Source organism: Homo sapiens, chromosome 16 (assembly GCF_000001405.40).
Source record: "Homo sapiens chromosome 16, GRCh38.p14 Primary Assembly".
Taxonomy (NCBI): Eukaryota; Metazoa; Chordata; class Mammalia; order Primates; family Hominidae; genus Homo; species Homo sapiens.
This window is the reverse complement of record NC_000016.10, coordinates 66499124-66513234: the sequence shown is the minus strand read 5'-3', so window position 1 is coordinate 66513234 and position 14111 is coordinate 66499124. Positions and strand designations below refer to the sequence as shown.

Here is a 14111-nt window from a genome sequence, read left to right as displayed (position 1 = left end):
ACTTTTTACAGTAATCCTCCTTTCTCTTGCTGCCATGTGTCATTTCTGACTGATATTGATGTGTCTGTCCCGTCAGCATTTCCTTACTTCCCCATCTCCTTGTTTTCCAGTTTGCTGTTTCCAGATTTCTTTACTCAGACAAATAAGCAGTGGCCCAGATGCTCCCAAGAAATGCGGAGTCTGGGGTCCCTCCGAGTCTTGATTGGAGGGAACCTAAGATGGTTACATATACAACATGGGATTGGCTGTGAGGCAGGGTTGTGCGCAAGCTTTGGTGCATGGCTATAGGAGCATTGTTTGATGGGATGTGAGGCAGGGCTGTGCATGAGCTTTTGTGCGTGGCCATAGGAATATCTGTTTGGGCTCAAACACTTCTGCTTATGGCTCTTGCAGGCAGTGAGGTTGCCGGAAAGTGAGATATTACTGTAGTAATTTTTTGTTTGTTTGTTTTTGAGACAGAGCCTCACTCTGTTGCCCAGACTGGAATGCAGTGACGCAATCTCGGCTCGCTGCAACCTCTGCCTCCTGGGTTCAAATGATTCTCTTGCCTCAGCCTCCTGAATAGCTGGGACTACAGGCGCATGCCACCATGCCTGGATAATTTTTTATATTTTTCGTAGAGATGGGATTTTGCCACGTTGGCCAAGCTGGTCTCAAACTCCTGGCCTCAAGTGATCTGCCTGCCTCGGCCTCCCAAAATTCTGGGATCACAGGCGTGAGCCACTGCACCCGGCCTACTGTAGTAGATTTTTAAATAAGTACAGCTTATTTTTCTCCCTCATTATGGAAAAAAAGGAGGGTAGAAAGTGATGAGGGAAAAAAACAAATCATTCATGAGCTTACAGGGTCTCACTGTGTTGCCCAGGCTGGTCTCAAACTCCTGGGCTCGTGTAATCTTCAGGTCTCAGCCTCCCAAAGTGCTTGGATAATAGACATGAGCCACCATACCTAGCTCTTGTAGTACATTCTTAAGTGAAAACCTCATTGGAAATGTAGATTGCCCTAGAGCTGAAAGCGATTTGGCTCTAACCTTCCTTTTTATCTGCCTGCAACCTTCTGTGCCCTTCCCTGCCCCCTGCTGCCTGCTTCCATCTGTCTGTCTCCAGCTGTGAAAGGAGGATGCTGCTGAGGTCAGTGCAGCCTTGTGACCCATGTGTCTAATTTCCAGGTGATTGAGGCTGACCACCACATGGAGAGGATGTTAGAACTCTTTGAACAAAATCGGGATCGAATATTAACTCCAGAGAATCGGAAGCATTGCCCATAGGAGGCAAAAGGTCTATGGCTCATGTCTGAAAAATGCCTGCTGCTGCCAAGTTAGCTATTGGGAGCAATCTGGAAAAACTTGCTCCCAGGAGGGCTTTGTGTCTGGCCAGCTTGATTTTCCTAATGGTCTCATCTCCTTTGCTAGTGTCTTTGTCATGCGTCTCTGGCCCTCGTGGGTAAATGACAAACGGGACCAATGGGTTTGCCAAGCCCTTTGCTGTTCGCAGCCTCACATTCCCCCGGTGCCTCTCCCATGGCTTTGTGCTGCTGAGTCGCTCTCATGAAGCCCTTAGGGAGAGCACCTGTTGTGTGCCTGACACCACGCTGGAGCTGTGTACCAATCGTCTCAGCCTTCATTAGGAGGCCGAGGTAGGAGTCTTATATCCCAGGTGAGGAATTTGAAGCTCAGAAAGGTTGAGGGGCTCCCCAGAGGTCACACAGCCTGTGTGCAGTGGAGCTGGCACCATTCAGACTTTCAGCCGACTCAGCAACTTTCCCTTGCCCTGGGCTGCCTCCTCCTGAGAGCTGTTCCCCACCGCCCTGCCTCTTCCGGTTGGAGGCTCTCATGTCTCTTTGGGGAGAGCTGGCAGTGTGCGGAGCTGATAACATTTTCCCAATATTGAGCAGTTCCCAAGGACAGTCAGCATTTCTAGACTTCCACAAAATTATGCTGCATTTGGCTGGAGCCCGGTGTTCAGTGGTTTCCCTGCCCGAGGTCGCTGCAGCCCCATCTACCACATCTTCATGTGGACATTGAGATTCACATGCTGGCTCCTGAAGGGTGCTCAGTCTCCTTGGTGATTAAGGTCCTGCTTGAACTGCTGCCAACTCCATGTCAGGGAAGTCGCTTTTGGTGCCTGGCTGGTTTGCCCAGAGCCAAGCTGGGGCAAGGGGCAGCCAGCCCTGGCTTCCAAGGCTCCCGTACTGTCTGTGTCCTTGTATAAGGAGCTTTGCTCTTGGAATTACTGAAAGTCTGTGGCCCAAGAGAGAGACACAAGTGGCCTTAAGTCTTTTTGAAGTGTTATTTCATCCAGGGAAATGCCTCGAGCCATAGAGCCTGAAATCATCTTTGTTGGCTCAGAAAATACCTTAGCTTCACTCAGCTGGACTGCATTGAAGGCGAGGCTGCCCCTTGGATCAAGCAGAAAACAAGAGAAAGAAAGAACGTTCCCTTTGGGGATAGTCTGGAAAGTTGGGATTTGCAAATAAAGGCTCTGGAAGCATTGCTGGTCCTGAAGCTTTGGAGGTGGGCAGAGAGAGCTTCAAGAAGACTAGATGCAAACCCTGGAAAGGATTAAGGCTCAACTCTGGAGAAACAGGCCACAGCCTCTCAGAGCAGCTGTTGGCTGTAAATAGAGGTAGCAAGGCCGCTCCCAGGCCCCTGTGAGTGTGGGCACCTGTGCATGCAATGCTCCGACTCTGCAGAGGTGCCAAGTGCCCCTGCTGGGCCAGTCCCAGAGAGTTAGGAAGTCAAGGCCTGCAACTCCTGGTTCTTCCTGTTTGGACCAGTTCTTGTGCCATTGGCAGGATGAGAGGCAGCAGCCAGGCGGGAGCTGTGTCTAGCAGCACCTGTAGCCCACGTGCTGCTAATTAGCTGGAAAACTGGCGAAGGCAGAACCTTTGCTACCAGGAATCTTGACATGTGGGGTCTGTCTTTGAGAATTTGTAAATGAACAGTCCAATATTTCCTCTCGGCTCATTTTGCACATCCATTTTTGGGGAAATGTGATTTCTCTCTCTTTTTTTTTTTTTTTTTTTGCCTAAGGCACAATCTCAAGAGGTCCTGAGACCACGTACCCATGATTTTTTTCTTGCTCTGTGATACCCAATAACTCCTTCACCTAAGCCCTGTTGTTGATTTTGAAGTGCTTCCTAGGCCAGTGATTTTAGCTTCTGCCAGCTGCTTTTGCCAGTAGATTAACGTGTTTTTATTTTTCAAACTCCGTGTTTCCTAACGTGGAGTGTATGGGTCTAAGAGAGCCTGCTGTCCTCCCTGCCTTCCACCTTGGAGAGGAGGCTGGACGCATCAGCAGTGGCCAGGGCAGGTCGCAAAATCTCCCAGCCTAGAGACCACACCTGAAACGGCTGAAGCCAGCTTGCACAAGGGCTGCTGTCCCTCTGCGGCAGGCAGAGCTGGTGGGGGCAGGGGTCACAGAGCAGTCATAGACACCATGGACCAGGGCAGGAGAAGGGCAGATGGCACATGGGCACAACAGGGCCTTGTCCTTAGAGCACTGGGGGGTCATGGCTGGGAGGGGCATGGCAGGGGCTGGCATCCCTGTAGAGCCAGAGGGGCCACCCAGGGCAGTGACATTCCAGATATGTTGGGCTCACCTCATCCTTGCTGTGAGACTGGAGTTCCATGGGGACATGAAGTCAGTACACCGCAGAGCTGCTCAGCTGCTCTACCTCTCGCTGACTTTTTTGTTGCACATATACATTTTCTTTCAATTAGCATTTATTTCAGCTTTTATTTAAGCTTTTTGACAGTACATGTAAAATATATGATTATAACCATTTAAAAATACCTTATGTACCTGGTTTTTTTTGGAAACTAGATAGAAATATATTTATCTTTTACATAAAAGAAGTGTGTAGTGGGGTGGTCCAGGGCTTTGTGGTGGCTTAGTGGCCATCGGGGTCCCAGGCTCTTCCCACCTTTCTCTTTTGGGTCCACCTCTTGGCTCCTGGCTTCCTTCCTCTGGGGCCTGACTGTCCAGGATGGCAGCTGGAGCTCCTGCTCTGGGCACGGTTGGCATCAGAGCCCACTGCTCCCCATCCACTCTTTAATCCAGATGCTGGTAATGTCCCTTTCCAAGGCATAACTAAGATAAGCTGGAAGGTTCTTACGAGGCTTTGCTAGAGGCCCTGGGAGGTGGGGGGAAAGGCAAGAGGGCAGTGCCCACCCATAGACCGGGTCACATGACCTGGCATCAGCGCCGTGGGGTCCTTTGGGCTTCACCTCCCTCTCCCCTCTGCCCCCACGTCATCCCACCCTCATCCTCACCCTCACCATTCCCATCCCGTACCGTAATGTCCCTTGCAAGGCCTAACTCTGTGAGGAATGAAACCACCTCATCCTTGTTCCAATAACATGAGTGACCGAATTTACAAACGAGTGAATGTGGACCTCTGGAAACATTACCCAGCTTGTTTTTACTTTTCACTTTCTCTTTCTGCCCCTTTCATTTCCGTAGGAGCCCTTTACCTAGATGAGAAGTGTCCCCCCGCCTGGGGAATATATCAGTCAGAACAATCTTCCTGCAGACATGCACCATTAGACCCGAGTGACGGTGGTGCCATTTAAACCTCAGAGCAGGTAAAAGGTGGTCCTGAAACCTGTCTACCCACAGGGTGCTATGGAATCTGAATCACTTCTTTTTTCCTAGAGCCCTGGGGTGGGGAGCTCCCTCAAGTGTTCACATGTGTGTGGAATGAGGAACACCCATCTCCTTGGCCCTCTCCACCCTGAAGAGTTAGTTATTAAAATAATTGGCAAGCTCTTGCAAATGTCAGTCATCCATTGTTCAGAATGGAATAGCAATAATACATCCCTGGCTGCCCTGGGCTTGGCCAGGATTACTCACTGAAGGCCTCAGGGTTACTGGCACACACTTTCTTTTCCTAATAATCCCATCCCCTCAGCTTTCCTAAGGCTAGAGTGAATTTCGTGTTCCTTTAGTTTACATAAGATGGTGAACTTGGCAAAAGCTATCATTAAACAGAAGCTAAGAGAAAGCCTATGTCGTGGAATCCAGAATGGGTATTGCCATTCACTGCTGTCCACAGAAGCTGTCTTGAATTTCTTTCTGTGTCTTTTCTTTTTTTTTCTTTAAGACTGTTGTTTACCAGACTGGGCTCTGTGGAACACAGGTGTCCTGGGAGATGGTTAATCATTACAAAATATTGGTAACAATCTAAAGATGCATACATAAGAGAGTGGTCAAATAAACCATTTTCCATTCACATGGTGGAGTACTGTGCAGCTATACAGAAGAATGAGGAAGATCTCTCTGAATGGTTATGAAGTAATGTCTAGGACATAAAGTTATGTGAAAAATGCAATGCCCAAACGAGTGTCTATAGTATGCTACCCTTTATATTAGAAAGAAGAGAGGCCAGGCGTGGTAGCTCACGCCTGTAATCCCAGCACTTTGGGAGGTGGGTGGATCACCTGAGGTCAGGAGTTCAAGACCAGCCTGCAACATGGGGGAACCCCATCTCTACCAAAAATACAAAAAAGTTAGCCAGGCGTGGTGGTGGGCACCTGTAATCCCAACTATTTGAGAGGCTGAGGCAAGAGAATCACTTGAACCCAGGAGTTGGAGGCTGCAGTGAGCCGAGACTGCGCCATTGCACTCCAGTCTGGGCAGCAAGAATGAAACTCCATCTCGAAAAATAAAAAGAAAACCGATAGAAGAAAATACACAGATGCAAAGGAAATATAGGAAGGACGCCCAGAGACAAAATAGGTTGGTGGGTAAAGGCTAGAAAGAAGGGAAGGATGAGACTGGGCTACAGGGATGAGAAGGGAATGACACTTCTTTGAAATATCTTTTTATTTTATTTATTTATTTTTTTGAGACAGGGTCTCGCCCTGTCACCCAGGCTGGAGTGCAGTGGTGTGATCTTGGCTCACTGCAAGCTCCACCTCCCAGGCTCAAGTGATTCTCGTGCCTCAGCCTCCTGAGTAGCTGGGATTACAGGTGTGTGCCACTACGCCTGGCTAATAGTAGAGACAGGGTTTCCCCAGTTTGGCCTGGCTGCTCTCAAGTGATATGCCCACCTTGGTCTCCCAAAGTACTGGGATTAGTGAACCGCTGCACCCAGCCTGAAATGTCTTTTTCTATAACTGACTGTTACATACTGTGATGTAGCAATGTTTCACATACCCTTCACATACTGCCAAAATAAATAAGAGCAACCAGGATGTAGGGAAAACAGAAAACAAAATTACAGATGAACTCCACCATACCGCAGGTGAGTAACATAACCATACTGAAGGGGGCAGGAAAGAACAGAACTAACAAATAACTGTGGAAAACAGTATCTTTACTGGATATGGTAAGAGTAAAGGCAAAAATTTCTGTACATAAAAGTTGTAGTATAGTTATTAAAAATGTTTCTCGACCATGCGTGGTGGCTCACACCTGTAATCCCAGCACTTTGGGAGGCCAGGATGGGCGGATCACCTGAGGTCAGGAGTTAGAGACCAGCCTGGCCAACATGGTGAAACCCTGTCTCTACTAAAAATACAAAAATTAGCCGGGCGTGGTGGTGCACGCCTGTAATCCCAGCTATGTCGGAAGGCTGAGAATTGCTTGAACCCAGGAGGCAGAGGTTGCAATGGGCAAAAAAAAATGTTTCTCACAGGAGTATAGGTTAGTGATTCTGAAACTATGTATACTAAAGTTGAACAAACAAGTAAATAGATTGTAGACTATGAGGGCTGGATTTCTTACTGTTAGTGAAAGAGGTTACAAATGATAGGGGTCTAGAATAAACCCCGTGGTGCTGGGTTAGAATAGGAGGTGTCAGTCTAAACTCATGATTTTAAAATTTTAGGCTCTGGTGGCTCACTCTTGTAATCCCAGCACTTTGGGAGGCCAAGGCAGGTGAATAGCTTGAGCCCAGGAGTTAGAGATCAGCCTGGGCAATGTGGCAAAACCCCATCTCTACAAAAAATACAAAAATTAGCCAGGTGTGATGGTGTGCGCCTGTAGTCCCAGCTACTTGGGACGCTGAGATGTGAGAATAGATCGAGTCCAGGGGTTCAAGGCTGAAGAGAGCTGTGATTGTACCACTGCACTCCAGCCTGGGTAACAAAGGAAGACCCTGTCTCTAAATAAATAATAAATAAAATTATATATAGATGGATACAGAAATATAGATGTGTGTGTGTGTGTGTGTGTGTGTTTATGTGTGCTTAGTATACATACTTATGTTTCCTAGCTCTGTCCTGAGTGTGTCTAGAGGCAATGGCACCCAGTAACAGTGAGCACACCCGGTACCCAGTTCTTGGTCTCCAAACATCATTCTCCTGCAAAAGGAACCAGGTCTCCTAGGAGATGTGGTTGATTCCAGGGATGCCACAGGGGAATGACAGGATGACCCTGGAATATCTTGTGGTGCTAGAAAGAAAGTGCAGGGATGTGGGGGGATGATGGAGCCATGTCAAGGGAATTGAGGAGCTTGCCTGAAGTTCCTAACGGCCAAAGCTGGAACAGTTTGAGGAACAAAATAAATTATGTTAGTATTGGATTCTAACACATAGACTAAAATAAATATCCACGAATCCATGCTGATATAAACAGTTGAAGAAATAAGTAAACAGGGAAGAAAGGGAGTGCTTCCTTATGGTAGATTTCCAGTTAATACACACAAAAGGCAAGAGGGAAACAGAGACTTGCCATTACATAAACACCACAGTTAAAAAATCACAGGCCAGGTGCGGTGGCTCACGCCTGTAATCCCAGCACTTTGGGAGGCCGAGGCAGGCGGATCACAAGGTCAGGAGATCGAAACCATCCTGGCTAACACGGTGAAACCCTGTCTCTACTAAAAATACAAAAAATTAGCTGGGCATGGTGGCGGGCGCCTGTAGTCCCAGCTACTCTGGAGGCTGAGGCAGGAAAATGGCGTGAACACAGGAGGCGGAGCTTGCAGTCAGCCGAGATCGTGCCACTGCACTCCAGCCTAGGTGACAGAGGGAGACTCCGTCTAGGGAAAAAAAAAAAAAAAAAAAAAAAAAAAAAATATATATATATATATATATAAAATCACAGACAAGATTTACCTGTTGATACTAAAATTAGTGGACAGAAGTTTGAGGAAAAACAAGATTTGCATAGTTTCTATTTCCCCTAATATACTTATCAAGTAAAAAGGGAAAGAAATTAACTAATTTGACAGTGGAGATGGAAACCCCATAGAAACCAGCTTAATAAGTGATTAAGGTAATAAGACGTAGTGACATCATGAAGCCTTTACAAAGATGCACTGAGGACAGCATCTTTTTTTTTTTTTTTTTTTTTTTTGAGACAGGGTCTCACTCTGTCACCCAGGCTGGAATGCAGTGGCGCAATCACAGCTCACTGCAGCCTCGACCTCCTGGGCTCAGGTGATCCTCCTCAGCTTCCCGGGGAGCTGGGACTACAGGTGTGTGCCACCAGGCTGGCTAATTTTTTTTTTTTTTTTTTTTTTTTTTTTTGAGACGGAGTCTCGCTCTGTCACCCAGGCTGGAGTGCAGTGGCGGGATCTCGGCTCACTGCAAGCTCCGCCTCCCGGGTTCACGCCATTCTCCTGCCTCAGCCTCCCAAGTAGCTGGGACTACAGGCGCCCGCCACTACGCCCGGCTAATTTTTTTGTATTTTTAGTAGAGACGGGGTTTCACCGTTTTAGCCGGGATGGTCTCGATCTCCTGACCTCGTGATCCGCCCGCCTCGGCCTCCCAAAGTGCTGGGATTACAGGCGTGAGCCACCGCGCCCGGCCATTTTTTGTATTTTTTGTAGAATAGGGCTTTTGTCATGTTGCCCAGGCTGGACTTGAACTCCTGAGCTCAAGTGATCTGCCTGCCTTGGCCTCTGAAAGTGCTGGGATTACAGTGTGAGCCATCATGCCTGGCAGCATCATTTGTTTTTTTGGTGTGGTATCCTTGCCAGAAATGCATACTTGACTCCAGTATTAAGAAAGCACCAGACAAACCCAAATGGAGGGACATTCAACAAAATAACTGATTGGAAAAAACTCTTTAAAAGCATCAAGATCGTGTTAGACAAGGAAAAAACAAGAACTATTACAGACTGGAGGAGACAAAGGAAAATATACAAATGCAATGTGGGATCCTGGATGGGCTCCTGGAATAGAGAAAGGATTTTAATAGAACACTAGGAAACTTAAATAATATGTGTAGTATCGTTAATAACATTGTATCAATATTAATTTCCTGTTCTTGATCATTATATTATGGTTACATAAGATGTCAACTTCAGTGCAATGTGGGATCCTGTATATGCTCCTGGAATAGAGAAAGGATATTAATGGAACACTGGGGAAACTTAAATAAGGTTTGTAGTATAGTTAAGAACATTGTATCAATATTAATTTCCTGTTCTTGATCATTATACTATGGTTACGTAAGATGTCAACTTTAGGAGAAGCAGGGCCAGGAGTGGAAAGGAGTTCTTTGTACTATTTTGCAACTTTTCTCTCCATCTAAAATTAGTTAGAATAACGCCCTTCATGGGAAATAAAGGCAGAGCACAACACTGTAAATATTACAATCCCAAATGTTTAATATATGCGTATATAGAAAAAAGACTGGGAGGAATTGCAGGAATGTGGTGACATTGGGTATCGCTGAATGGTGGAAATTATGGTAAGGTTTGCTTTCGTTTTCATATTCATCTGTACTTTCTAAGTTTTCTACTCATTTGATGGTTTAATATGGTGGATCCTTGGAAATAACGGTGAATGAGACAAGATGAAGTTTATCTCTCATGGAGCTTATCTTCTAATGGGGGGAAATGGAAAATGAATACATGAATTAAAATCTTTGTGCAGAAAATTAAGCTGATGTGATAGATGGTCAGAGGGGGCCTCTCTGAGAAGGTGACATTTAAGGGGAGATGTGAATAACAAGGAAGAGAACATGGCAGGGTAGGGTAGGGAGACAGAGCAGAGGGAACAGTCTGTGCAGAGGCTGGGAATAGGGCCAGGCTCAGCATGTTCCAGAACCTTGCAGAAGCCAGGGTGGCTCTGGCTACAGCGGACAATGGGGAAGGGACCTGAGATGAGTTCAGAGGGAAAGTGAGGGGCTGAGCCTGGGACTTGATATGGCCTCGGGCACCCCTGGAGGGAACTGAACACATGAGAATCATGATCAAATGTAGGTGGTTTTTTTTTGTTTTGTTTTGTTTTTTTTAACATTTTCTATTTTATTTTATTTTTTAAATATATAGAGACGGGGTCTTTCTGTGTTGCCCAGGCTGGTCCCAAACTCCTGGACTCAAGCAGTCCTCCCACCTCAGCTTTCCAAAGTGCTGGAATTACAGGCATGAGCCACCACGCACAGCCCTAATGTAGGTTTAACGGAATCCTCCAGCATTCGGGTGGAGCACAGGCTGCAGAAGGCTGGCAGCCTCCAGGGACGTGAGTGAGAGAGGATGGTGAATTTGGTTACTGTGGAAGGAGGGGGGAAGGGGTTGGATTCAGACTCTGTTGTGAAAGAGAGGAGCTAGGAATTGGATGAAGGATGTGATAGAGAGAGAGAGCGGGGGGAGGAGGAAAGAGAGAGGAGAGAGAGATATATGTTGGTCAAGGGTGATGTCTGCATTGGATTGGAGTGAGTGAGTGGATGGTGGACTCATTTACCCAGATGGGGAATGCGGGAGCGGCAGGCTTAGTGGAGAGAGCAAAAGTTCTGTTTTGGTTTGGAATAAGCATGCTTATTATGTTAATGGTCAGAAAAGAATGAATAAAAAAAAAATAATTAGCTCGCCTTTCCTGCCCCTGGAATCCTTGGCCTAAGTTGCTCTCCCAGGTTCCTTTGCTGCAGGTCAGGTGCCCTGGGGGATATGCCTTGGAGTGGCTGTCATGGTTCCAAGCTGACGCAACCTCTTGCCTCATCCTCCTGAGATTGCTGACCTGCTCTGCCTCCAGATCAGCCTGTTCTTTTTTTTTTCCATTTATTTATTTTAAGAGACAGGGTCTCACTCTGTCACCCAGGCTGGAGTGCAGTGGTGTAATCACGGCTCACTGCAGCCTTGAGCTCCTGGGCTCAATCAGTCCTCCCATCTCAGCCTCCTGAGTAGCTGGGACTACATGGCTGGCTAATTTTAATTTTTTTTTTAAATTATACTTTAAGTTTTAGGGTACATGTGCACAACGTGCAGGTTAGTTACATATGTATACATATGCCATCTTGGTGTCCTGCACCCATTAACTCGTCATTTAACATTAGGTATATCTCCCAATGCTATCCTTCCCCCGTCCCCCCACCCCACAACAGGCCCCAGTGTGTGATGTTCCCGTTCCTGTGTCCATGTGTTCTCATTGTTCAGTTCCCACCTATGAGTGAGAACATGTGGTGTTTGGTTTTTTGTCCTTGCGATAGTTTGCTGAGAATGATGGTTTCCGGCTTCATCCATGTCCCTACAAAGGACATGAACTCGTCATTTTTTATGGCTGCATAGTGTTCCATGGTGTGTATGTGCCACATTTTCTTAATCCAGTCTATCATTGTTGGACATTTGGCTTGGTTCCAAGTCTTTGCTATTGTGAATAATGCTGCAATAAACATACATGTGCATGTGTCTTTATAGCAGCATGATTTATAATCCTTTGGGTATATATCCAGTAATGGGATTGCTGGGTCAAATGGTATTTCTAGTTCTAGATCCCTGAGGAATCGCCACACTGACTACCACAGCGGTTGAACTTGTTTACAGTCCCACCAACAGTGTAAAAGTGTTCCTATTTCTCCACATCCTCTCCAGCACCTGTTGTTTCCTGACTTTTTAATGATCACCATTCTAACTGGTGTGAGATGGTATCTCATTGTGGTTTTGATTTGCATCTCTCTGATGGCCAGTGATGATGAGCATTTTTTTCATGTGTCTTTTGGCTGCATAAATGTCTTCTTTCGAGAAGTGTCTATTATATCCTTTGCCCACTTTTTGATGGGGTTGTTTGTTTTTTTTCTTGTAAATTTGTTTGAGTTCATTGTAGATTCTGGATATTAGCCCTTTGTCAGATAAGTAGATTGCAAAAATTTTCTCCCATTCTGTAGGTTGTCTGTTCACTCTGATGGTAGTTTCTTTTGCTGTGCAGAAGCTCTTTAGTTTAATGAGATCCCGTTTGTCAATTTTGGCTTTGGTTGCCATTGCTTTTGGTGTTTTAGACATGAAGTCCTTGCCCATGCCTATGTCCTGAATGGTATTGCCTAGGTTTTCTTCTAGTGTTTTTATGGTTTTAGGTCTAACATTTAAGTCTTTAATCCATCTTGAATTAATTTTTGTATAAGGTGTAAGGAAGGGATCCAGTTTCAGCTTTCTACATATGGCTAGCCAGTTTTCCCAGCACCATTTATTAAATAGGGAATCCTTTCCCCATTTCCTGTTTTTATCAGGTTTGTCAAAGATCAGATGGTTATAGATATGCGGCAATATTTCTGAGGGCTCTGCTCTGTTCCGTTGGTCTATATCTCTGTTTTGGTACCAGTACCATGCTGTTTTGGTTACTGTAGCCTTGTAGTATAGTTTGAAGTCAGGTAGCGTGATGCCTCCAGCTTTGTTCTTTTGGCTTAGGATTGACTTGGCAATGTGGGCTCTTTTTTGGTTCCATATGAACTTTAAAGTAGTTTTTTCCAATTCTGTGAAGAAAGTCATTGGTAGCTTGATGGGGATGGCATTGAATCTATAAATTACCTTGGGCAGTATGGCCATTTTCATGATATTGATTCTTCCTACCCATGAGCATGGAATGTTCTTCCATTTGTTTTATCCTCTTTTATTTCATTGAGCAGTGGTTTGTAGTTCTCCTTGAAGAAGTCCTTCACGTCCCTTGTAAGTTGGATTCCTAGGTATTTTATTCTCTTTGAAGCAATTGTGAATGGGAGTTCACTCATGATTTGGCTCTCTGTCTATTATTGGTGTATAAGAATGCTTGTGATTTTTGCACATTGATTTTGTATCCTGAGACTTTGCATCCTGAGACTTTGCTGAAGTTGCCTATCAGCCTAAGGAGATTTTGGGCTGAGACAATGGGGTTTTCTACAAATACAATCATGTCATCTGCAAACAGGAACAATTTGACTTCCTCTTTTCCTAATTGAATACCCTTTATTTCCTTCTCCTGCCTGATTGCCCTGGCCAGAGCTTCCAACACTATGTTGAATAGGAGTGGTGAGAGAGGGCATCCCTGTCTTGTGCCAGTTTTCAAAGGGAATGCTTCCAGTTTTTGCCCATTCAGTATGATATTGGCTGTGGGTTTGTCATAGATAGCTCTTATTATTTTGAGATATGTCCCATCAATACCTAATTTATTGAGAGTTTTTAGCATGAAGAGTTGTTGAATTTTGTCAAAGGCCTTTTCTGCATCTATTGAGATAATCATATGGTTTTTGTCTTTGGTTCTGTTTATATGCTGGATTACGTTTATTGATTTGTGTATGTTGAACCAACCTTGCATCCCAGGGATGAAGCCCACTTGATCGTGGCGGATAAGCTTTTTGATGTGCTGCTGGATTCAGTTTGCCAGTATTTTATTGAGGATTTTTGCATCGATGTTCATCAGGGATATTGGCCTAAAATTCTCTTTTTTTGTTGTGTCTCTGCCAGGCTTTGGTATCAGGATGATGCTGGCCTCACAAAATGAGTTAGGGAGGATTCCCTCTTTTTCTATTGATTGGAATAGTTTCAGAAGGAATGGTACCAGCTCCTCCTTGTACCTCTGGTAGAATTCGGCTGTGAATCCATCTGGTCCTTGACTTTTTTTGGTTGGTAAACTATTAATTATTGCCTCAATTTCAGAGCCTATTATTGGTCTATTCAGGGATTCAACTTCTTCCTGGTTTAGTCTTGGGATGGTGTATGTGTCGAGGAATTTATCCATTTCTTCTAGATTTTCTAGTTTATTTGCGTAGAGGTGTTTATAGTATTCTCTGATGGTAGTTTGTATTTCTGTGGGATCGGTGGTGATAATCCCCTTTATCATTTTTTGTTGCATCTATTTGATTCTTCTCTCTTTTCTTCTTTATTAATCTTGCTAGCAGTCTATGAATTTTGTTGTTCTTTTCAAAAATCTAGCTCCTGGATTCATTGATTTTTTTGAAAGGTTTTTTGTG

At 45.3% G+C, this 14111-nt stretch overlaps 1 protein-coding gene across 8 annotated transcripts in view, besides 3 other annotated features; it reads left to right on the top strand.

Moving 5' to 3' along the window:
- Positions 1-5232, top strand: part of TK2 (thymidine kinase 2) — a 42289-nt gene extending 37057 nt beyond the window's left edge. For all 8 annotated transcript variants that reach the window (NR_073520.2, NM_001271935.1, NM_001172643.1 and 5 more), the window contains one exon: positions 1169-5232. Coding sequence is in view for 7 of the 8 variants with exons in the window: in NM_001172643.1 (NP_001166114.1) it covers positions 1169-1267 (99 nt within the window). In the remaining variant the exon portion in view is untranslated. The remainder of the gene's footprint in view (positions 1-1168) is intronic.
- Positions 6-981: an enhancer, noted in NCBI's record as "OCT4-NANOG-H3K27ac-H3K4me1 hESC enhancer chr16:66546157-66547132 (GRCh37/hg19 assembly coordinates)". NCBI's record gives its function as "activates a minimal SCP1, AML or CMV promoter by ChIP-STARR-seq in primed H9 embryonic stem cells {active_cell/tissue: H9 hESC(primed)}" and the evidence as "EXISTENCE:reporter gene assay evidence [ECO:0000049][PMID:30033119]".
- Positions 982-1957: an enhancer, noted in NCBI's record as "OCT4-NANOG-H3K27ac-H3K4me1 hESC enhancer chr16:66545181-66546156 (GRCh37/hg19 assembly coordinates)". NCBI's record gives its function as "activates a minimal SCP1, AML or CMV promoter by ChIP-STARR-seq in primed H9 embryonic stem cells {active_cell/tissue: H9 hESC(primed)}" and the evidence as "EXISTENCE:reporter gene assay evidence [ECO:0000049][PMID:30033119]".
- Positions 2934-3909: an enhancer, noted in NCBI's record as "H3K4me1 hESC enhancer chr16:66543229-66544204 (GRCh37/hg19 assembly coordinates)". NCBI's record gives its function as "activates a minimal SCP1, AML or CMV promoter by ChIP-STARR-seq in primed H9 embryonic stem cells {active_cell/tissue: H9 hESC(primed)}" and the evidence as "EXISTENCE:reporter gene assay evidence [ECO:0000049][PMID:30033119]".